Below are 25,512 nucleotides of genomic sequence, written 5' to 3'. Positions count from 1 at the left end.
GTCACTTTAAAAAAACTATTCATATGGAACAATGATGTTCATATTTAATATAAGGCTCTAAAAATTAAATTTAGACAATACATCAGCACTTTTTCTATGGCTGCTTTATTGCCACAATTGTAGAGTTGAGTAGTTGTGATGAAGACAGTACAAAACTCAAAGTCTTTAATATTTACTCTGTGGCCCTTTATAGAAAAAGTTTGTGAGCTCCTGGCTTAGAGTATCAGCCATGCAGGAAGTATATGGGAACCCCAGTGATCTTTTTTGATGTCCCCCTATCTTGCCATTTCCTAACTTATCCAATTCCCTCAAAGCTGTTATATCAATATTGATGACTTTATCTTTGATTGGCTAATTTTATATTAAGTATTGATCAAAGAAAAAAGATCAAACAATTATTTCATCAACTATTTTCTAACTGACTTTAATATTATTGTCATACTAAGTATCACTGTGTTTAATCCTCCAAATTTTCATCATGATGGTTATTGTAATCATTATTTCAGCCAAGATTTATTTGATTTTCTAACATGTTTTTGTGCAGCATTGTATACACTCTCCCTTGCAGGCTCTAATTCCCTCTTATTGACAGTAAACTTTTCAGCAGGAGAAATAAATCCCAAAACACAAAATGTGAAAGGAAGGCAAATACTTTCGATCTAGAATCCATTATTAGTTTTTTTCTATGCCTTTCCCTCCCATTTTCTTTATACTTATATGGCAGTTTGGCAGGGTTGTGGTAGCATAATGACATCCCAAGTATCTCTATGCCCTAATCTCTGAAACCTGTGAATATGTTATCTTACATAAAAAAAGGAACTTTGCAGATGTGATTAAGGCTGTGGACCTTGAGATGGGAAAGTTATCCCAGGTTACCCAGGTGGGCCCAATCTAATCAAATGAGTCCTTAAAAGCTGAGAACCTTTCCTGGCTATGGTCAGAGGACGTATATATGAAAGAAGGGTTAAAGAAATGCAGTATTGTTGGCTTTAAAGATGGAAAGAGAGAGCCAAGATGGCTGACTAGATACAGCCAGGAAGAGCTTCACCCACGAGAGAAACCAGGCCCTCAAGTAGATCAGCATACTCTGAACAGATGTTTGGAAAGAAGGCGTTGAGAGTGGACAGAGGGAGGACACAAATGTGGGCTAAAAAAGGAGGAAGTTGGAAACCCTGGACAGAGTGGCCCAGTGTCAGGATTCATTTCTGGCCCTGAGCAGCTCCTAGGGAAGGGGTGAATGAAGTAAGTGTGGCGTGGTCCATGGACCTCTGGGATCCTAGCTGCGGGAGACTCCACAACACCCAAAGACATCTGAGCTGTCAAGGAGAACTATCTAGAGAGTTGGCAGAGACAGAAGTCTAGCCCGTGTGGAGCCTTGATGGTTTGGTGTGGGAACGGCTGCACTGGAGCATGGCCATTGGTGCCCATTCCCCAATGTTCACTGTAATGCCCTAGGTGGCTGTAGCCTTTACTGGCTGCCAGACCTGGATAGTTCAGGGCTGTCTTGCTTGTGGGACAGGGTAAGTCTGATCTGAGTGTCCTCTATTCTCCACATCTGCCAGCCCCTCCTAGGGTTCCTGCCTTGCTGCACCTGCTTGCAGGGCAGCCTCAGCTTGCCACTGGCCACTCCTGTAGCTCTTTCATCAGCAGACCCCACCTAACCTTCAGAGTGCTTTTTCAGGTGGATCCCTGCCAATGTATACCAGCCTGCAGCCTCCCACAGCCATTGCATACCTGCATGCAGCCTTCCCCCACTGGCAAGCACCTGCCTGCAGCCTTCCCCTGCTGGTGTGCACCTGCCTACAGCCTGCTTCAGTCACTTTGGTGAAGTGACACTAGTGCTTTTGCATGCAGGGACCTACTGCAGCTCCTGCCGGTGCACATGTGTGTGCATGGACTCAATGCCACCCTCCGCCCAGAGCACTTTTGCCAGCAGCCCCCATTAGAGTGTTGTTGCCAGCAAACTGGGAATACCTCAGCCCCTCCAGTGCAGCAGGTGCTTAACCTGAAGAAGCCAGAGAGCAAAGCTGCAGGCCTGGTTCCAGCTCCCCAGGCTTACAGCACATAGCCCAGGAGTGCTGAGCTGAATCTTGGCCCCTGAAAGCATCCAGAATGAAGCCAATTGACTAAATCCAACTTATACCACAGTCAAACCCTCAAGGGCATCAAAGAACATAAAAGCAAAAAGCTCCATCCAAAAGACAGAAACTTCAAAGATTAAAGGAACATCAGCCCACACAGATGAGACGGAACCAGTGCAAGAACTCTGATAACTCTAAAAAGCAGAGTGTTTTCTTTACTCCAAATGACTGCACTAGTTCCCCAGCAATTGCTCTTAACCAGACTAAAATGGCTGAAATGATAGACATAGAGTTCATAATCTGGATGGCAAGGAAGCTCATCAACATGCAGAAGAAGGTTGAAACCCAATCCAAGGACCACAGTAAAATGGCCTAACAACTGAAAGATTACATAGCCATTTTGAAAAAGAACCAAATTAAACTTCTGGAAATTGAATAAAATCTCCAAGAAATATGGGATTATGTAAAGAAACCAAACTTATGACTCATTGGCACTCCTGAAAGAGATGGAGAGAAAGCAAGCAATGTGGAAAACGTATTTTAGAATATTGTCCACAAAAACTTCCTCAGTCTCACCACAGAGGTTGGCATGCAAATCATAAAATTCAGGGAACCCCTGCCAGATACTACACAAGATGACTCATCCCTAAGACACATAATCATCAGATTCTCCAAAGTCAACATGAAATAAAAAAATCTTAAAGGCAGCTAAAGAGAAGGGGTAGGTAATATAAAAAGGGAACAGTGTCAAGTTAACAGCAAACTTTTCAGCAGAAACCTTACAAACCAGAATAGTTTGGGGCCTACATTCCACCCACCCAGGGTAGAAGTTCCACCCAGGAATTACATGTCTGGCCAAACTAAGCTTCATAAGTGAAAGAGAAATGGAATCCTTTTTCAGACCAGCAAATACTAAGGAATTCATTACCATGGGAGAGCTGCCTTATGAAAGGTCCTTAAGGGAGTGCTAAACATGGAAATGAAAGACCAATATCTGCCACCACAAAAATATACTTAAGTACATAGCCCACTGACATTATAAAGCAACTATACAATCAAATCTACATAAAAACTAGCTATTAATAAGAACACAATGACAGGATCAAATCCTAACATGTCAATATTAACTTTGAATGTAAGTGGGCTAAGTGCTTCACTTAAAAGACACAGTGGCAAGTTGGATAAAGAAGCAAGACCCAACTGTATACTGTCTTCAAGAGTCATGTCTCATATGCAATGACACCCATAGGCTCAAAGTGAAGAGATGGAGAAAGATCTATCAAGCAAACAGAAAAGAAAAAAAAAGCAAGCGTTGCTATTCTTATTTTAGGCAAAACAGACTTGAAACCAACAATGATCAAAAAGGACAAAGAAGGGCATTATGTATTGATAAAGGGTTCAATTAAACAAGAAGACTTAACAATCCTAAATGTATATGCACCCAACACTGAAGCACCCAGATTCATAAAACAAATTTCTGTAGACCTTGAAGAGACACATAACCACACAATAATAGTGGAAATTTCAACACAAATTGACAGTGTTGGACAAATCATTAGGACAGAAAACTTACAAAGATATTCAGTACCGAAATTTGATATTTGACCAAATGACCCTGAGAGACATCTACAAAATACTCCACCCAACAAGAGAATTTATATATATTTTTTCATCTGCACACAGCACATACTCCAAGGTTGACCACATGCTCTGCTATAAAGCAATTCTCAACAAATTCAAAAAAACCAAAATCATACTAATCACACTCTCAGACCACAATGCAATAAAAGTAAAAATTTATGCCAAGAAGTTCTCTCAAAAACCATACAATTACATGGAAATTTAACAACCTGTTCTTGAATGATTTTGGGTAAAGAATGAAATTAGGGCAAAAATAAAAAAAATTCTTTGAAACTCATGAAAACAAAGATAAATATACCAGAACCTCCAGGACACAGCTAAAGCAGTGTTAAGATAAAAGTTTATAGTGCTAAAAGCCTACATCAAGAAGTTAGAAAGGTCTCAAATTAATGATCTAACAGCACATCTAGAGGTACTTGAAAAATAAGAGCAAACCAACCCCAAAGGTAGCAGAAAAGAAATAACCAAAATCAAAGCTGAACTGAACGAAGTTGAGATGCAAAGATTCATGGAAAAAGTCAATGAAACCAAAAATTTGTTCTTTGAAAGAATTAATAAGATTTATAGACTCTTGGCTAGATTAACAAAAAAAGAGAGAGAGAATCCAAATAAACATAATCAGAAATGACAAAGGGAGCATTACCACAAATCCTACAGAAATACAAAAAACCCTCAGAGACTATTATGAACACCTCCATGCACACAAACCAGGAAACCTAAAATAAATGAATAAATTCCTGGAAACACAACCTTCCAAGATTGAACCAGGAAGAAATTGAAATCCTGAACAGACCAATAACAAGTTCTGAAGTTGAGTTAGTAATAAAAACCTTACCAACCAGAGAAATCCCTGGACCAGACATATTCACAACTGAATTTTAGCAGATATATAAAGAAGAGAGGGTGCTAGTGCTGGGGTTAAATTATTCCAAAAAATCAAGGAGGAGGGACTCCTCCTTAACTAATTCTATGAGGCCAACATCATTCCAATACCAAACCTGGCAGAGACACATGAAAAAGGAAAATTTCAGGCCAATATCCCTGGTGAACATAGATGCAATATCCTCAACAAAATAATATCAAATTGAACCTAGCAGCACACATTAAAAAGCTAATTCACATGCAAATCAAAGCCACAATGAGATACCATCGCATGCCAGTCAGAACAGCGATTAGTAAAAAGTCAGGAAACAATAGACGCTGGCCAGGCTATGGAGAAATAGGAATGCTTTTACACTGTTGGTGGGAATGTAAATTACTTCGACCATTGTGGAAGACAGTATGGTAATTCCTCAAGGATCTAGAACCAGAAATACCATTTGACCCAGCAATCCCATTACTGGGTATATACCCAAAGGAATATAAATCATTCTACTGCAAAAACACATGCACACGTATGTTTATTGCAGTACTATTTACAATAGGAAAGACATGGAACCAACCCAAATGCCCATCAATGATAGACTGGATAAAGAAAACATGGTACATATACCACATGGAAAACTATGCAGCTATGAAAAGAAAAAGTCAGGAAACAATAGATCATATCCTTTGCAGGGACATAGATGAAACTGGAAGCCATCATCTTCACCAAACTAACACAGGAACAGAAAACCAAACACCTCCTGTTCTAACTCATAATTGGGAGTTGAAGATTGAGAACACATGGACATGGAGAGGGGAACAACATACACCAGGGCCTGTTGTAGGGTCGGGGGTGAGGGGAGGGAACTTAGAGGACAGGTCAATAGGTGCAGCAAACCACCATGACACATGTATACCTATGAAACAAACCTGCATGTGCTGAAAAAGAAAAAGGAAGAAAGAAAGAAAGAAGGAAGGAAGGAAGGAAACAAATCAAGTAAGCCAATATATAAAAAAAAAAAGATACTTGGCCTGAGGGATCACATGATCCATGTCTCTAGTGATGTGGCACCCAATATGTCAATCAATATGATTTAGATCGGGATGGTAAGTTGGCAGCATGTTTGAAATTTCATAAAGATTGTTCTGCTTGCCTTAATTTTATGATGTCAATGACTTAAATTTCATAAAATGTTTATTAAGCAAGTGACTGGCTTTTTAGGTCTTCTGTTATCAAGGCTTAGAAGTGGACATGGCTGAGATCTAGAATGTAGCTATGAGGCAAATCGAAAGTAAAGCATTATGTCCCACACTGTGAATTTGTAGGAATTACTGTAATAATTTTTTTCTAATTGTTTCTGACTATGTCCATCTGTAACCTGGTTATTTATTAACAAATTTTTGGATATGTTCAATTTTTTAAGAATCACCCGAACTTCATACTGAGTGGTATTTTTCTTTATGCTTTGGAATCAGCACCAAGTATGTTAATGAATTATTTTTTCACCCATTAAGTCCTTTTTTTGTAACATACATTATTAAACAATACTCTTAAAGTAGAAAAAAAAGCTAATTCACTATGATCAAATAGTCTTTATTTCTATGACTTAAGCTTAGTTCAGCATATGCAAATCAATACATGTGATTCATCACATAAGCAGAAATAAAAACAAAAGTCACACGATCATCTCAATAGATGCAGAAAGGGCTTTAGATAAAATTCAACACCCTTCATGTTAAATACCCTCAACAAACTAGTCATTGAAGGGACATGACTCAAAATGATAAGAGCCATCTCTGACAAACCTACAGCCAGCAACATACTGAACGAGCAGAAGCTGGAATCATTCCACCTGAAAACCAGAACAAGACAAGAATGCCCATTGTCACCATTCCTATTCAACATCGTACTGGAAGCCCTAAACAGAGCCATCAGGCAAGAAAAAGAAATAAAAGGCATTCAAATAGGAAGAGTGGAAGTCAAACGATCTCTCTTTGCAGATGATATCAGTCTATATGTAGAAAACGTCATAGACTCTGTTCAAAGTCTCCTAGGACATAAACAACTTCAGTAAAATTTCAGGACACAGAATTAATGTACAAAAATCGGTAGCATTTCTGTATACCAACAATGTCCAACCTGCAAGCCAAATCTAAAACACAATCTCATTCACAAAAGCCACAAAAAGAAAAAAAATACCCAGGAATACAGCTAACCAGGGATATGAAAGATCTCTACAATGATAACTACAAAACACTGCTGAAGGAACTCAGGGACTACACAAATAAATGAAACAATATTCCATGCTTATGGATAGCAAGAATCAATATTGTTAAAATGGCCATACTACCCAAAGCAATTTATAGATTTAATACTATTCCTATCAAACTGCCAATGTTATTTTTCACAGAATTAGAAGAAAATGATTCTATAATTCATTTGGAAACAAACAAACAAAATCCTAAATAGCCAAAGCAATCCTAAATTAAAAGAACAAAGCCAGAGGCATCACACTACCTGACTTCAAATTATACTACAAGACTACAGTAACCAAAACAGCAGATATTGGTACAAAAACAGACATATAGACCAATGGAGCAGGTTAGAGAACCAAGAGATAAAGCCACACTCCTAAAACCATCTGATCTTTGACAAAGTTGACAATAGGGAAAGGACTCTCTCTCTATTCAATAAACAGTACTGGGAAAACTGGCTAGCCATGTACAGAAGATTGAAACTGATTCCCTTTCTTTCACCATATACAAAAATCAACTCAAGAGGAATTAAAAATTTAAATATAAGACCTGAAACTATAAAAACTTTGGAAGACAATCTAGCACATACCATTGTGGACATAGGTCTTGGCAAATATTTCATGACAAATTCTCCAAAAGCAATTGCAATGAAAACAAAAGTAGACAAGTGGGACCTAATTAAACTAAAGAGCTTCTGCACAGCAAAGGAAATTTTCAACAAAGTAAATAGACAACCTACAGTAGGGAAGAATATATTTGCAAATTATGAATGCGACAAAGATCTAATATCCAGAAACAATAAGAAATCTATAAGGAACTTAAATTTATAAGCAAAAAACAAACAACCCTATTAAAAAGTGAGTAACTGGCATGAAGAGATACTTCTCAAAAGAAGACATACAAGTGGCTAACAAGCATACGAAAAAATGCTTGACCTGCAGAATGGCTATTATTTAAAAAGTCAGGAAATAACAGACATTCAGATGATTGCGAGGTTACAGAGCAAAGGGAATACTTATACTCTGCTGGTGGGAATGTAAATTAGTTCTGCCGCTGTGGAAAGTAGTTTTGAGATTTCTCAAAGAACTTAAAACAGAACTACCACTTGACCCAGCAATTCCATTACTGGATATATGCTCAAAGGAATGTAAATCATTCTACCAAAAGGCACATGCACTTGTATGTTCATCACAACACTATTCACAATAGTGAAGATATAGAATCAGCCTAGATGCTGAACAGTGGACTGAATAAAGAAATGTGGTACATATACACCATGGAATACTACACAGCCACGAAAGAATGAAATAATGTCCTTTGCAGCAATATGAATGCAGCTGGAGGCCATTATCCTAAGTGACTTATCACAGAAACAGAAAACCAAATACCACATGCTCTCACTTATAAGTGGGAGCTAAACGTTGATTGCATGTGGACACAAACGGGAACAACAGACACTGGAGTCTACCTGAAGGTGGAGGGTGAGAGGAGGGTGAGGGTCAAAAAATACCTATCAGATACTATGCTCACTCCCTGGGTGAAGAAATCATTTGCATATCAAACCCCAGTGACATGCAACTTACCCATGTAACAAATCTGCACATGTACCCAACTGAACCAAAAATAAAAGTAAAAAAAAAAAAGAGAGAGAGAAAACCAAATATGGCATGTTCTCACTTATAAGTAGGAGCCAAATCTTAGAATCTTGGGTACATGGTTGGGGACAGGTGGTAGGGACTCCGAAAGGAAGGAGGGAGGAGTACAAGGCCTGAAAAACTTCCTACTGGGTGCTATGTTTGCAGTCTGGGTGACGGGATCAGTAGAAGACCAAACCTAGCATCATATAATATCCCCTTGTAACAAACATGCACGTGTACCCCACCCCAAATCTAAAATAAAATTGAAATTTAAAAAATAGAGATGGAGGAAGGGGGTCAGAGCCAAAAATTTCAAGATAATACATTTGTGTTATTTGAAACCACAAAGTTTGTGGTAATTTGTTAAGGCAGCAATAGAAAACTAATATAAAAAGTCTATAGAGTATATCCTTGTTTTTTGGCACTTACTGTTGCTTCTAAGAAATTTACTGTCAGTCTGATTTTGTTTAGCATTTTTATGTGTTTGGAGCATGGTTGATTTGGGGTGTGTTTCATCTCAGTCACTGATATGAATACCTTGGTATTAAATGTATCTTTGTTATCAATTTCTTGGTAACAGTATATTTTTTTTCATTGTGATTATAGAACATCGTTTTCACAAATTTTACTTTAAAAATGTTAAGGGTTGTCTATGGTCTAAAATATGATGAAATAATTTTATAGCTAATTCATGAAACATAATAAATAACATGTAATCTCTATAATTTATGATATGCTGTATAAAGTTTAACATATCTTAAAACTTATATTGTTTAAATTATCTTTATCAATTTGTATAGCCTACCTGATCTCTCAAACCTATGAGATGATCAATTCTTTCATTATTATTATGTAATTTTTAAGTTTCTGTGTGTATATATAAATAGCTTTTATATTGTTTGATGGCATTATTCATCAAGTAAGGGTTGGCTGTTTTATCTTGAGTATGTTTTTGCAGTTTATTATTTTCTGCTTTTATCTTCATTAATTCTTTTTACTGCCTACTTTTTGATTTCCTTTGATGTATGTTTTCTAGTTTTACAGTTGGCTGTTTCCTTAATCTTTAAATGTTTTCTATTTAATAATTGAAGTACATATTCCTATGAATTTTTCTCTGAAGTGGCTTTGCCTTTATCTCACAGTTTATATGTTCAAATTTTCACTGAATTCTAAAGAGTCTATACTTTCAGCTAATTTTTTAGAAGAATTTTTTTCCTATTTTTATGAGACTAGATTTATAATTTTATATTTAGTTTTTTGTTCTTTGCACTGTAATAAGAGAATATGGCCTGTCTGCCTTTTTGAATTTAGTGGGATTTTGCTATACATCTTACTACGTAGACAATTTATAAAAAAATCCCATATATACTTTAAAAGTGTGAGTATTTTATGTTAGTTTGTTTTAGAATTACCAATATTTTAATCTGTTGGACTTTTGTGATCAATTAAATCTTGTTTAATTGTCAAGTTCACACTTGATCTGACAATTTTGGAAAGAAAGATATTATAAAATATTTCTTTATGATTAAAGCTTTATCAGTTTTTCTTTCGATCCATTTTCTTCACAGCAGAAACAATAGCTTTAAATAAATATAAAAACCTTATATGGCTTTCCATTTTGCTTAGAATAAAATATTAACTTGTTTCTGTTATCTTTCCCAGCATTCTTTAATCTGCAACAAACACTAAGCTAACTTCTTCCTCAGAGCCTTTGCACATGTCACTCTCATTTTCTGGAACATGTCTACCTCCTCACCTTCCACCTTACAGTTTGTTTTTGGCATCTGGCTTCTCTACCTCCTTCTCATCTTACAGTTTCAGGTGTTTAAGTGTTTCTCCCTCATATAAGCCCTCATAGAACTAAAATGGGCTCTTTCTTAAAGAAGAACAATTTTCAACTAATTTTTTTTTCTCCACTAGATATTGGCCTCAGCTGCTTTGAACGCAGAGGTTCCTCTGAGACTTTTGGGGATATATATATATATCTTTCAAGAAGTGAAAACCTCTCAGGAAGTTGTCCTTTCTTTATCGTTAAATTTTAGCTCTTGAAAATGATGTGCTTCTTTGCAATTTTAATCATAGTTTCATCATATCTTCCACAAAATCCTAAAATTTACTGCTGCTTTGATGGCCCACTTCATAGTTTGACAGTGCTGCTAGATAATTATTATTTTGTAGCTCTTTTCCTTTCATCTTATTGAGAGGTAAGGCGGCAAGAGAGGTAAATATATAAAAAGAATTCGTTATATAGAAATTCAGATTTTAAAGTGAAAAAATCCAAAGGCATGGGTATTGAATGACATGTTGGCAAATGCTTTTTAGACTATTTTGAGTAAACATATTTAAATTTGATACACTTATGTATTATAATCTGTTTCTTATTAGTCAACACTCTTGTTTAGTTGGAATAAATTTACTTGTTAATAAGAGATCATACTTTTTATATATTTTGTACTTGCATTTGCTTGGCCCTTAAAAATAGGAAAATATGTTCAAATTTATCCGTAAGAGAAACGCCAATTAAAATTACACTGAGTTATTACTTCTCCCCTATCAGGTTGGCAAAAATCCAAAAGTTTGACAACTGTTGGCAAGGCTGTGAGGAAATAGGCACTCTTATATATTGCTGGTGATAATACAAAATGGTACAATCCCTATGGAAGAAAATTTGGCAATGTCTAACAAAACTCATAAGCATTTACACTTTGACCCAGAAAACTAATTACTAGGAATCTATTCCAAAGATATTCAGGAAAAATATGAAAAGGCATGTTCACAAGACTACTCACTAGAGAACCATTTATAACAGCAAAGACTAGAAAGAACCCAAATGCTCATCAATGGAAGATTGATTGAACTATTGTACACAATGGAAATATGTAGCTGTAAAAAGAAACGAGGAATATTTTTATACATACATATGGAATAATTCTTAGTATAGGTTTTTAAGTGAAAAGGAAAAGCATGTTGTAGACAACAATGAATGATTATCTATAGGGCCAAAAGAAGAAATAAAGAACATAAATATTTAAGATAAACAAATTTATATGTTTCGTTTCTTTATAGATTTGACTTTTTAATCATGGATGCGTTTTACATAAATATTAAAAATTAAGACAAAGAATACAAACAGTTAAAAACAAAATTAAAATGAGACAAATGAATCTATTCTGTATTGAATTCATGGCGTAATCTCCCAGAAACTAATCACTCCAAGAGATTTTAAAATATAGTAAACTGGCTAAACTTTCTTAATGGGTTATATGCTAAAGACCAAAATAATGCAGAAAAAAATAAACTGTTTCTGGTAATCTACTGTTAGTGGTATTATCGTGTAACTGTTGCATGTGTATAGTAAGATAAAGCAAATAAACACATTAATGTTATTAGGAATTAAAACTTTTGGTAAGAGAGGTGTAGATTTTTAAAAATTAAGGAAGTTGAGTCTGAAATTATACATTGGAGTTAGAAATATCAATATTATGTCATAATATATTTTCTGATGAAACAAACAAACAAACAAAAAACATGTTTCATAGATTTATCTACTGAAAAGCCTAGAAACAATGCCAAACTTGATAGTAATGAACACCCACAATTGCCATATTGTGGCCTCTAAGTACCATTTCCCAGTAAAACAAACCAAGGTCTGAGGCAGAAAATATGCATGATAAACTGGAATACTGTGTCAAGCCATAAAGCAAGGATGCTGTAAAAAACTACAGTGGTCAACAGGTCCCCAGAGCCAACCTGAAGAAGCTCTTATTGGCCAAAGACAATTCAATGTAATTAGGTACAGTAATTAGGTTAACTGTAATGAGTTGGATACATGAAATATGTTTAAATACATGAATACATAATAATAATTTTTAAAAATCTTACCAATTACCTTTGAGATTGCTAAGGAATGAGTTGAAGCATTTTTGTTTTTACCTTTCCTATGTAAAGCAGACTTTCCTGTATTTTTTATTTTATTAAATTGCCTTCTTTTTATGTAAGTATTCCAACTAATAAGTGAAAAAATAATATAATATCATAAATTTTCAACCCTAAATGAAATAAATGGATATAGGCATTAATTATAAATGGATACTATCATCACAAAAATAGATATAAGCAGGAATTGTGAGCCTCCCAGAGGAATATTTTACCTACAAAGTACTCTTTCAAAATAAATAAATAAATACATAAATAGATAAATAAAATTAAGACTGTGTGGAAAAAAGTTAGCAGTCCTGAGACATCTTATCCTTAGAGAAAGCCCTGCTTGCAAGATGGGTTGATCCTTGACTGGTGTCTGGAAGCTGAATTTCAAGGGAGTTACCATCATTACCTACTAAGAATACTTACTGTACTTAAACTGTTTAAACAAGCAATGTGGTTTATGGTGAACCCTGCTTTCTTTATGGAAGTCTTGAATTGTATATACCAGGCAGAGGGTGCCTCCATGACAATCCTCAATGGTATACAACATTTTACATGTGCTGTCATTTACTGCTAAGTGAGTACTATGTTATCCCACTAGGAGAGGGCTCTTGCAAGTTTGCACCTGATTTCCTCTGGATTTTGTCCCACATACCTTTTCCCTTTGCTGATTTTTCTTTGTATTATTTCTCTGTAATAAATGATGGCCATGAGTATGGCTATATGTTGAGTCCTGTGAGTTCTAGTGAATTATTGAAACTGGGCACCCCAATGCTAAGACTGTCTACCTTACCACCAGTTTATAAGAAATACATGGAATAGAGCAACATGTAAATAATACTACAGAGATGCAACCAGCAGAGTCCAGAGTGTGAAAAGCTCTATAGTCTCTTTAACAAATAAATAGCAAGAAAAACAAAAAAGGAAAAAAAATCCTATCAATTAAGAGTCTTATGAAATATTTAAAGATAAAATGTAACAATGTCTGAGACTGGTTTTAATGTAATCTAGCAATGGTAGTAGAAGGGAGAAGAGAGTAGAATTATAGAGGAAACAAGATTGGTCATGAGTTGACATTTGTTAAAATTTAGTAATGGGTTTACATAGATTTATTTTGCTTTATAATAAATTTTAATGATATTATTATGTAAGACAATTGTAATTAAAGTTGAATTTAATTTTAAATTAAAGTTTGAAATTATATTTGCTAATGTTTTAAAGTACTCTTGCATATATGTTTATGTGAGGTTTTCTCCAATATCCTTTTATCATTGACTGCTTTCAAAATTAATGTTTTCTTTATATTTTCTCTATGCTAGATTTTTGTTTTCTTTGTATTTTCTCTATGTGCTAAGAAAAATATATATTAAAAGAAGGATCTGTTTCATGAAGATAAAAAAAATCCACAAAGAATTCAAGCCAAGATCTTTTTAAATAGACAATTCTTTTACATTTGTTTTTATTTTTAATTTCTGATTTACCTTGTTACTTCTTTGTTACTATGTAATAATGGCTTATATTTTTACAGAAAATGTCCATTTCAGAAAATTCTGACTTGGGGAAAACATACAATAGTCTCATATAATGAACTTTTTTTAGTGGAATGTGAATATATATGTGTATATATATGTAAATATAAATATTAATAATGTTATATTATTTATGATTTAAAATATATGATTATATGTTTACATCATAAATATTACATTATAAAAGATATACATTCTGTGTATATAAATATAAATATATATATACATTTTATATGCCCTTTGTCATTTGTAATACTCCATCTTCCCTCCCATACTCAAACCTAAGATTCTGGACCTTAGCTACAAAGGGTAGAATATAGCATTATATGAAAAAAATAGGTTACGGGGGGGAAACTGAAACTGAAACACGTCCATACCAAGGGGTCAATGGAATTCTTTTATAGCGAAGCTGAAAGACCTCGGCATATGGACAGAAAACATGTTTGAAGCTATAAGGTGGACAATGGGGCTACCAAATCAAAGCAAGGGTGCTCCAAAGGCAGAATAAGAGGAGAGATTTCTTAAGCTGCTTAAGCATAGCCTCAGCTGACCGCAATACAAGAAATCAGCTCAAGGCTTTTGTTTCTGCGATTTCCTCAGTTTTTCTGTTTTAGATTTCATTTATTTTTGATTTGATATTTAGTATTTCCTTTCTGTTCATTTCCTTAGAACTTCTTGAAGTATTGTTTCTAAATTCTTGAAATAAAGTTTAATTCATTTAATTTTTGATTCTCTTTGTTTAATAAAAGTTGTATATAAGATGTGAATTTACTTTTGATGCAGCTTTAGTTTTACTCCAAAAACTTAGATATATAAATATTCCTAATTTTATTATTCTTCTAAATTGTTATTTTTTTAAATTAAAAGTGTAAATAAAAAATAACTAAATTTATAATGTATTTTCTCCTTGATCTGCAGTTAGGCAAATGCATTTAAATTTTTCAGTGTTTGATTTCCAAAACCATTTTTAAACATATTTATTTTCTTGCAATTCAAAAAAAAACTTGATTTCTTCAAATGGAAGATGAAAATTGTATATGTTGCTTTGTCTACTTTATTAGTTCCCAATACATTATCCATCCCATCTTTGTCATCTTCATCTTTGTCATGTTGATCCCCTCTTTTTCTTTTTAACAAGTATTGCTTTATAATTTTTGTCTCTTATGTTTTCTTTTTAGGTCCATTTATCACAATTATTTAGGCTAGCATTTCCCCATCTGTGACTGCCCCCAAACACTCTATTTTATAATACATTAATAAGTGTTTTGAAAAAAGAAAATCTTTAATGGTAAGGGAAACCTGGCAATGAGGCTTGCCTGAGGTAAGCACAATTATATTGACATCTTTATTTTAAGAGAGATTTTAAAGAGAGATTAATATAATCATAAATATTGTGGCTTGTCTTCAGGAAGTTGCATTATGCAAACTTTCTCAAAATTGTTTGACTATGGAGTCAATTTGTCCTAGAATATTTTTTAACATTCCATGAATTTGATGTTTTCGTAACAGAACAACATTGCTTTGGGCTTATCTCTAGATTTTTAACTAATATCAATACTCACTGCCAGTCAAATCTCCAATTTCTTTCTCATTATTCAGTTTTTAGTTTTGATTTATCTCGTGGTAACATGGAGCAAATTTTTATTTTTCCGTGTGTGAAAAAGTACGAAATGGTATATTCTCTGATAACATCGATAATCTTAAAATGGCATTCACGTAATAACAACAGCTTGCTTGGGTATAAAAATCCTTGAGTCATAACTGTTTTCTTTCAAGGTACTACAAATGTTTATTTTCTTCTAGCATTCTGAGACCAATTTAGTTGTTGTTCCTCTGATATGAGTCTAGCCTTACACTAAAGAATCAAGCATTTCATTAGAATATGTTTTGATAAGTATCTATTTTTTTCCTAAGTCATAGTGAGCCTCCTCCATGTCTAGGTTAAACATTTTCTTGGATGAGAGAGATGCTTTTTTCTGCACCTTGATTACTTAACTTTGGATTTCCTCTTATTCTTATTATTTATAGTTCATATGTTTATTCTTTTTCCGTAGTTTTCTTTCTTTCGTGATTTACATTACTTTATCTTTTTCTTCAGCATACTAAAGGTAATTTTTTTATGTTTGTTCTACACACTGATAATTTAATTTTTTTGCAGTTTCAGGTTGGCTTTTCTGGTGCTTCTGAGATTTAGCTACCGCAGTTTTATTTTGGGGCAATTGCTTCCTATAATATTTTTTCTCTTCTTGTTTTAATCTTTGTTTATTATTTAATTTTATCTCATGTATAACTTATCTCAGTATGGCAGGCCCTACTTGTATAGAGATAATGTTCTTTTACATACTGGGACACTTTTCCCCTTCTTTTTTGTTAATTCTAAGTTTTGTATTTGTTGTTTTCTGGCTCAGCCTTGAATGAAGAAACGTCTTGCTCCCTGTGGTGAAACAATCAGAATATGTAGATTTTTTTCTAATTCCCTTTTAATTTATTCCTGGTCAAATTCTTAGTCCTGATCCTTCAAATATTTTTATTTGTTTAATGAAAAGCTGATTAAGGAGCAGAAAATAACTATACAAATCATCTATCCCACGTCTCCTTCTTATATAGATAAGTTCTTAAGGTCCAGGAAGGATAATTGCTTAAGTGCTCTAACCTTAGCATTGGTAGAGTAAAACACTAGAACGTAGGTCAGTTACCTTTGTATTGTATCAACTGCCTCACGCAAGATTTTTGTTTTCTTATATTTTTATTTTCTTGATTTATTGAAAAGCTTTAGAAGCTGAGATTGAGAAAGAAAAATAGCTTTTTCCCCCCAAGTGTGATTAAATTAGTACTGAATGTTAAAAACCACCCATGGAAATTGTTGGCTTAACCTTCTGATGTGTTAAAAAAAAAACCACACAAACTACATGAGATTATCTATCTTATTATTATTATTATTATACTTTAAGTTCTGGGGTACATGTGCAGAATGTGCATGTTTGTTACATAGGTATACATGTACCATGGTGGTTTGCTGCACCCATCAACCCGTCATCTACATTAGGTATTTCTCCTAATGCTATCCCTCCCCTAGCCCCGCACCCGCCGACAGGCCCCAGTGTGTGATGTTCCCCTCTCTGTGTCCATGTGTTCTCATTGTTTAACTCCCGCTTAGGAGTGAGAACATGCGGTGTTTGGTTTTCTGTTCTTGCGTTAGTTTGATAATACATTTATATCAGTGAACAAATTGAGGATATAACTTAATTATCTAGGATGAATATGTAAAAATTTCCACATATTTTCTCTGAATTCCAAATATAGACACTTAAATAATTCCTCTCAAACCGAACGTTTCTACTAGACTCTCTCCTGCTGATCACATGCTGATCCTTCTCTCTAGACCTTCACTACTGTCTGGTTCACTACTAACCATTCTACTGGGATAAGTAAAAGGTTCGTGAATGAATCTTTTGGGTCACTTTTTATTAGTCAATATACATTGAATATTTCCATAGTTTCTTGGAAGATTTTTGTCCCTAAAAAACTTCCATAAACTAGTAACTCTCTTAAAAATAATTCTAGAGGATTCATAACTGTTATTCTTATTTTAATATTTTGTATCTGTTTTTACTTTAAGTTTCCAGAATTATTCAACCTTCATTTATTTGCCTTATTTTTTTTCTGAAAAGCGTTTGTACATATATTTAATACTTTCTGTAATTATTTGATTAGATAATGGAGTAAGCAACTTCTAAAATTCCTTGTGAGTTGTCGCCATGGAAGAACCATAGATAAAAATATTCTTTATAGGATAAAATTTTTATTTTGGAACTGGACATATGCTAAGTGAACCAAACTGGAAGGCAGTCCTTAGGGGTTGTAAACTCAAAAACAAAAACATAACAGCTTATTACCTATATACTTACTTCCCTTTTACCTGTCTCATGATACTGAACAAATTATGTAGCTGGTCATGTAGGGAAGCTAAGTTGGTCAAAGTGACCACAGTGTGACTACTAGCTTGTTTGCTGCTTGCCCTTGATCCTGTATTCCTCAGCTGCAACCCAACCCACTGTGCGCAAATCATCCATTTGGCTCATCATAATGCCCATGGGCCTTGGGAGGCAAGGGGAACATGTACAAGGCAGTACAATGATGACACATTTTCTGTTTGCTGAGTGTGAGTAATAAACTGTCTTGCTCTGCTGTAGTAAGTCTTGTTGCCTACTTCTGGCATCTATGGAGTAGTAGCAGGTTCACTCCTTGCCATCCTCTGTGAGGCTGGAGTTGTTCCCTGTTTAAGATGTTAAAGCTTCTGAATGTATGTCTGTTATTTTAACTTGAGATAACTTGAAAATACTTAAAAAGGAGTGAAAGATTGCAGGCCTTGGTGAGGTGTAAAGGATTGTATAACAATAATACATATATGTAAATGTACTTTTCATCAAGGAAATTAATGAATCCATTCATATATGCTATATAAGGGTATGACCAATGAAGTCTGGCTGGTCACAATGCTGACAGGGCCTCTATATTGGATCACCTCAGTTCGGGGTCTGGACTCAGCCTCGGAATCTCATGAAATGGATGTTGTCATAAGCTGAACGTGAGGTAGCCTCTCATGGATGAAGTTAGTCTAATAAAGGTCATGTCTAAATCAGAAATACAGTTTATTAATTTTTAATGAGAGATACCCTTTCTAGATAAAATAATGGAAGTATTCACTAAGTAGGGAAAGCTCCCTCCCCCTTATCAAGAAACCTGAGAAGCAAATTCATAATCAAAAGACTGCTTTGTATGATCAGAATCAGAGTTGAGACTGATGGTAATAAGTGAGGCTTGATGAAGCAGCCTTGTCTTACTTCTCCAGTGCTGCAGTTACTCTGGTTCCTATACATTATTGACTGGCACATTGCCAACTTTCAAATTTCTGGTTCCCATTCTACACTTCTACTGCCTTCTATTCCTGTTTACCTGATACATTGTTTTTCTTGAATGTGTTATTATAACAGATTTAGCTATTTTCCCATGAAACTATTTTTTGAAAGAGCCTGAACAGAAAAATATCTCCAGGACTCACCCTTAGCTGTGGAGGTCTTCCGGCTTTTTAAGATGACTTTGTAAATACCCAATCTAATATTTGTTTGTTTATTTCATTGTATGATGATGATCAGTTTTCAAGGTATCCTAATGTTAAATAATACAGTATATACCTATTATTGAGTGTGTGCATTATGCACCAACTTAATGTTAGGTGCATCTGTTTACAATCACATATAAATGATCCAAAGTTTATTTATGTATTCAACAAATATGTATTTTGCATCTACTATGTGATTAATGCTTTTGTAAGTGCTGGTGATATAGTGATTAGACAGTCAAGCTTTTACCTTCATGTAACACCTCACATTATAGTGACAGTTTTTTTTTTTTTTTTTTTTTTTTTTTTTGAGATGGATTCTCATTCTGTCACCCAGGCTGGAGTGCAGTGGTGCAATATTGACTCACTGCAACCTTCACCTCTCAGGTGATCCTTCTGCCTCAGCCTCTCAAGTAGCTGGGCCTACAGGTGCGTGCCACCACAACAGGCTAATTTTTGTATTTTTAGTAGAGACTGGGTTTCACCATATTGGCCAGGCTGGTCTCCCAACTCCTGACCTCAGGTGATCCGCCCACCTTGGCCTCCCACAGTGCTGGGATTTACAGGTGTGAGCCACCGCGCCTGGCCTATAGTGACAGTTAACGAGTATGAACATACATTTGGCTCTTGAACAACACAGTTTTGCACTGCATGAGTCCATTTATACATGGATTTTTTTTCAATACAAATTGCTGTGAGTGTGCCTGCCTTTCCTGTCTCCCTTCTACCTCCTCCATCCCTTCCACCTCCACCACTCTTGAGACAGCAAGACCAACTCCTCCTCTTCCTACTCCTCTTCAGTCTACTTAACCTGAAGATGATGAGGATGAAGACCTTTATGATGATCCATGTTCGCTGAACGAATAGTAAATATATTTTCTCTACCTTTTGATTTTCTTAATAATATTTTTCTTTTCTCTAGCTTACTTTATTATAAGAATACAGTTTATAATACATATAACATATGAAATCTATTTTAGTTGACTGCTTATGTTATCAGTTACGCTTCCAGTCAACAGTAAGCTATTAGTTTCTAAGTTTTGGGGGAGTCAAAAGGTATATGTGGATTTTCAGCTGTGTTGGGGGAGAGGGGAAGGGGCTAGCTCCCTAACCCTCATCTTTGTTTGAGGCTCAATCATATATTTATAGCATAATTTCAGATAGTAGTAAGCTTAGGAAGAAAAATGAAGCCAAGTAAAAACTGAAGAAAGATAGAGGCGGCTATTTTAGATGGTAACATGACAGTTTAAATGGTTCCTGGAGCACTAAAGACTATACTGGGAATGTCATTAAACAAACAGGTGTATTTGCAAATCCTCTTATATCCAATTTGATCATAAAAACATTGCAATAACTGTAATGTAAATATGCAACATCAGTCAACAAATCTTGTATTCACTTATCTTTGTGATGCAGACATTACTATTGATTGGTTATAAAAAGAAACTATAAAAATGCTTATTCAAAGTCAGTCAATGTGTAAATACTTTGAAGACACTGTTACTGGGACTGATACGTGAATGTGTGATTAAATGGAGTGGATGCTATAGAAATTCAGATGATGTTCAGAAATTCTCAAACTTCAGTTAGTATATTAGTCTTTTATTCTTTCATAATCCACAAAAAGCATGCAGCATACGGTAATGTGTCAAGAATTTTTTTTAAAAATCCTATTTATGTGTATAAGTTCACATAAGATGTATCTTCCTTTGCGTATTATATAATAATGCTAAAATATGAGGTCATTTAAGGATTTGCCGAACATGGTAAAAGAAATATATTTGCAGTTTTTACATTAGGATACAATTATGCTTTGGAAAAGTACTATTGCCTAAATACATCTTGAAAATATGCTTTTGAGAGGGAATGAATAGCACACAAATTCTGATTTCTTTTAAGTCATCTTGAAAAACAGACTACAGACACATGAGCTGAGCTTTAATAAAATGCTAATTAGGAGTGCATGCTACAGTTTGAATGGTGGCTATATAAAATGTACAGAAATAACAGTAGAGGACTGGTATCTAGCTTTGGGGAACTAGCTGTGACATCTAGGTGCTACTCCTTTGATGGCATGACTCTAAAACCTCTAGTGCTGCCTGGGACTTTGAGATTATCTATTCAAATTCTCAATTTGCAGAAGAGGAAGTAAGGTTTAGCAGGGGTAAGTGACTTGTTCAAATCCCTTGGCAAGCTGGCCGTTACTGGTGAGTTGGTGCCACGCTTTTTGTCCCATGCTGCCTCTTATCCCTCATCCCCTCCCAAATCGATTTTCCACCATTTTGTTGAACTTCACAGCACAAAGGCTTAGAAATAAAGTGCAATTTATAGGTGTAAATTATCCTCTTGTTTGCTAGCTCCTCCAGTGAAATACTTTGAAGAAGAAAAGGATGACAGTAAAATGAAAAATTAGGTTTAGGAATTTTATTTATCCATCTTTTTCTTACATTTCTGCCATAAGAAATTTTAAAAATTCATAAACTTGAATAAGATGATATCAGACATAGAGACCGGAAATACTGCATGTTCTCATTTATAGATTGGAGCTAAACACTGAGTACACATGGACTCGAAGAAGGAAACAAGAGACACAGGGGCCTACTTGAGGATGGAGGGAGGGAGGAGGGAGAGGATCGAAAAACTACCGATCAAATACTATGCTTATTACCTAGGTGACTAATTAATCTCTACACCAAACTTCTGTGACGTACAGTTTACCTATATAACAAACTTGCATATGTACCCCGAACCTAAAATAAGAGTTAAAAAACAAAAAAAAAGAAATAGAGGTTGGGAGGACAGGATTGGGGCAGAGTTGGTCAGAAAAAGAAGAAAAGGTAAAAAGGGGTCTGCTGGACCCTGAGGTTGATCATAGTTCCTAGCCCACGAATTGTCTCTCTGGGAGTTTATTTTTCTTTTCTGAATTTGAAAAGGAAAATATTAACCATTCTGGGTCTTCCTTTCCTTATCTGTAGGATGAAGAGGGTTGACTAATTAACCTCTGAAGTCCTTTCTAGTCTCACTAATCAAGGACTGGATATGTACTCAGCCTTTTGGAAATGTTATTGGAAGACATACAAAATACTGTTTTTGTTTGTTTGTTTGTTTGTTTTAGAGACAAGTCTCACTCTGTTGCCCAGGTTGGAGTGCAGTGGCGCAATCACGGCTTAGTATAGCCTGAACCTCTTGGGCTCAAACGATCCTCCCACTTCAGCCTCCCAAGCAGCTGGGACTACAGGCATTTGCCACCGTGCCCAGCTAATTTTTGTCTATTTTGTAGAGACAGGGTTTCACCATGTTGCCAGGCTGTGTCTCCAACTTCTGGGCTCAAGCAGTCCTCCTGTCTCAGCCTCCCAAACTGCTGGGATTAGAGGCGTGAGCCACTGCCCCCAGCCCACACATATTCTTGACTGAGCCTCTATCAGTGCTCTCTATGTACAACTGGAAAGTATTGATGTCTGTGTCCAAGTAGATATAAAGCTATCCTTGCTGGTCAGTTAATAAGTCAGTTAAATTGGAATTATAGTCAACTATTGATTAATCAGAGTAATAAGTGGGGGGGGGGGTGGGTACAGTGGGAGACAGCATAGATGACCACAAATCCTATGTGAAACAAGGCCTTGTTTTCAAGGATCAGTATAGCATGGTGGTTAGTAGCATGCAGTTAGTCTTGTGTTTAAAACCCAAATCTACATTTCCTAGCTGTGTGACTTGTCAATGCCTATAAGGGCTTACATTATATATATTTTATCTTACTATATCTGTGACTTATTGTCTTGTCTCATCATCCTGTTCTCGCTTTTTTCAATCACAAAGTTCTCTTGCTCTCCTGTGGTCAGGCCAAGCATGCTCTCATCTCAGGGAGTTTGCATAGGCTGCTTCTGCCTGGACAGCTCTTCCTCCTTCCCTGGACAGATAACTGCATGAAGCATCACTCTTCTCTTTCCGATTTTCTTCATATGTCACCTTTTTAGAGAAACCATCCTGGCTATGCTAATGATAATGATAGAAATCCAGCTCTTTGTATTCTTACCTTACTTAATGTTTCTTTATAGTTACTTCCTGAGATATTAATACATATGTATTTTTGTTTGTTTGTCTTTTGTCTATTCACATAAGGAAGTAAACTCTTTGATGACGTCCTTGTGTCTATTTTTACCATTTCCATATCACCAGGGTCTAAAACATTGCCTGGCACACAGTAACTGTTCAGTACATATTTGTTGAATAAATGCATGCTACCCAGTGGAAGAGCTGGTAACAGAAATGGTTACATGTTGCTCCTCTCGGAAGAGAGACTGGTGATAATGGAGGAGGGCAGGGCCCTTCCCATCTGTTATGTTTGTTTTTACCCTGTTACACTTGTTATAAATTATTTTGAAGAGATTATGGCTGGATCCTGGTCTAAAATATGCCACCATAGTTTGCACATCTAATCTGTATTTAATTTCATTTCTTCCGCTTTAATCTACTTTGCTTCTGATCATAAATGGAAATGAGCCAGCAGAAAGGAGATGGCATCTATCCACCCAGTATGTGTGTGGGAGTTCACTGTTCTGGAACCTGAACGCCATGAACCCTCACTCATGACCATAGATATGAACCTAGGAAAATACTTGTAAATGAATTAATTGAAATGATACACATTAAAAATGTTGCTAATGTGAATGTGAATGCAAATACAAGTAGATACAATCAATTTAAGTGAATGCACCAGACCATTCATGTGGCCACAATTTCTCAAGCCCCACTAACTTCAAATATTTTCTGTATCTTGCTAGCTTTATTTATGTCTCTTCAGCAGTTTGCCTTAGTGTGGAAGAACTGTATTAGGAGAAAAGACTGATGATGTGTTGAGCAACACTGGAGGTGAGGGTTGGAGTATAACATGTGACAAATTAACTTCTCCCTGATTGTTATCTCTGGCAGGTGTTTTGTCTTCCAACATGAAGTATGTAAAAATATATTCAGATCTGCACTCTTTTTGGTTGTATGATATTAGAGACATGACAAACAGACAACCAATTAAAGAACACCTTTACACAGGGGCACGGAAGCATTTATATCAGTGAAAAAGAGAAAAATGCCTTTGCTTTTCTCCCCCCAGCCCCCGTCACACACCTCCCCCCGCCCCACAACACACACACCTCTCTCTCACACATCTAATTCACACACACACACACCCATGCACACACATCCCAATTTCTCACCCCAGGGCTCGGATGATCAATGCTCAGTCTCAGCCTTGCTCCTGCTGAAGTCACAAGTGAGTTCTAACAAACCCCCCTCTAAGGCTACCTCCTATTGCCTGCTCTTCAGGACATGAGGAACACATCCACCGAAAACTATGTTTTCTTTGCATCCTAACTGAAACAGCATTAAAGGGGGAAATGGGAATTCAGCGCTGCCAGCTACAGTATCTCTCCTATCAGTTCACCAATAAGGCCTGGTAGGGACCTGCCGAGCCTCTGGATAAATTGTATTTTCCAAGGGTTAATTAAGCTGTCTTGAGCTTCTGCATGAAGAGGAACAAACTGGCACTTGCAGCGCTTTCTGAAACCTGCTGTCGACATTACAGTCCCTGCTGCTTTTAGCTGTATCGATCCGATGCCTGACCTGTGAAATCCTTGATGGCTGCTAACACTAGAAGCTTACTGGAGCTTTCCAAGGGAGCTTCGGGACAGCTTGTGTAGTCAGGTACAATTACCTATCCCTCCAGGAGAGCCAATTAGTTCACAAAGAGCTGGAGCAGAACAAATGTTTTGTATGTGATTTAGAATCCTAAAAAAGAAAAGGAAAAAAAGAGAAAAAAAGGCTTTGTTCTGTCTGTTTCTTTTGTTCCTAATTTTATGATTATTGTTCGATTCACAGTGGTCCTCACATTTCCTCACATGTTTCCGAAAGAATGATAAGAACATGATAAACCAGATTTACAGTCTTCTCTCTTTAAACTATGAAAATTGCCTTGTGCTATTTAAGATCCAGTTTCTGGACTAATTGTATGAACTCAAAGATAGAACACCCAAATTTGTTCTACTTTCTGCATTTCAGAAACTTTTTCTCTAAATGATACAATAAATTTTAGTCATAGTGAATCGCTCCTAAAAAATAGGATGAATGGCAACGACCCCTGCCTCTTAGTTTTGCAGGTAGAATGTAAGAATAAGAGATTCCTAGATAGTAATATGCTACACATATCCAGGCCTATATTAACATTAGCAAGATTGGTTTTTAAGTACAGCTAAACTTTACAGACTGTCAACTAATACTATGGTGGCCTTTGAATACAAGCAATGACACAACTGATCTACATCTGTATGCCCTGAGTCCAAGACTGTTTCCCCAGTAATAAATATCAGTGTTACTGAGATATTCACATTCCCTTGACCATTTTCCTTTGTGACCAATGATATTAATTTATGAGCTAGCTATAGGATGTGGTCTGTTCGTTGAATACA

General features: G+C 35.7%; 1 protein-coding gene across 2 annotated transcripts in view, besides 1 other annotated feature; it reads right to left on the bottom strand.

The window, feature by feature from the left end:
* VRK2 (VRK serine/threonine kinase 2) overlaps window positions 1-25,512 on the bottom strand; it is a 252,329-nt gene that overhangs the window by 175,677 nt on the left and 51,140 nt on the right. The window lies entirely within an intron of this gene.
* Window positions 4,555-5,162: an enhancer, noted in NCBI's record as "OCT4-NANOG hESC enhancer chr2:58206217-58206824 (GRCh37/hg19 assembly coordinates)". NCBI's record gives its function as "activates a minimal SCP1, AML or CMV promoter by ChIP-STARR-seq in naive H9 embryonic stem cells {active_cell/tissue: H9 hESC(naive)}" and the evidence as "EXISTENCE:reporter gene assay evidence [ECO:0000049][PMID:30033119]".

Source organism: Homo sapiens, chromosome 2 (genome assembly GCF_000001405.40).
Source record: "Homo sapiens chromosome 2, GRCh38.p14 Primary Assembly".
In the NCBI taxonomy this organism is placed as follows: Eukaryota; Metazoa; Chordata; class Mammalia; order Primates; family Hominidae; genus Homo; species Homo sapiens.
Note: the sequence above shows the minus strand (reverse complement) of the source record. Positions and strands in the feature narration are given on the sequence as shown.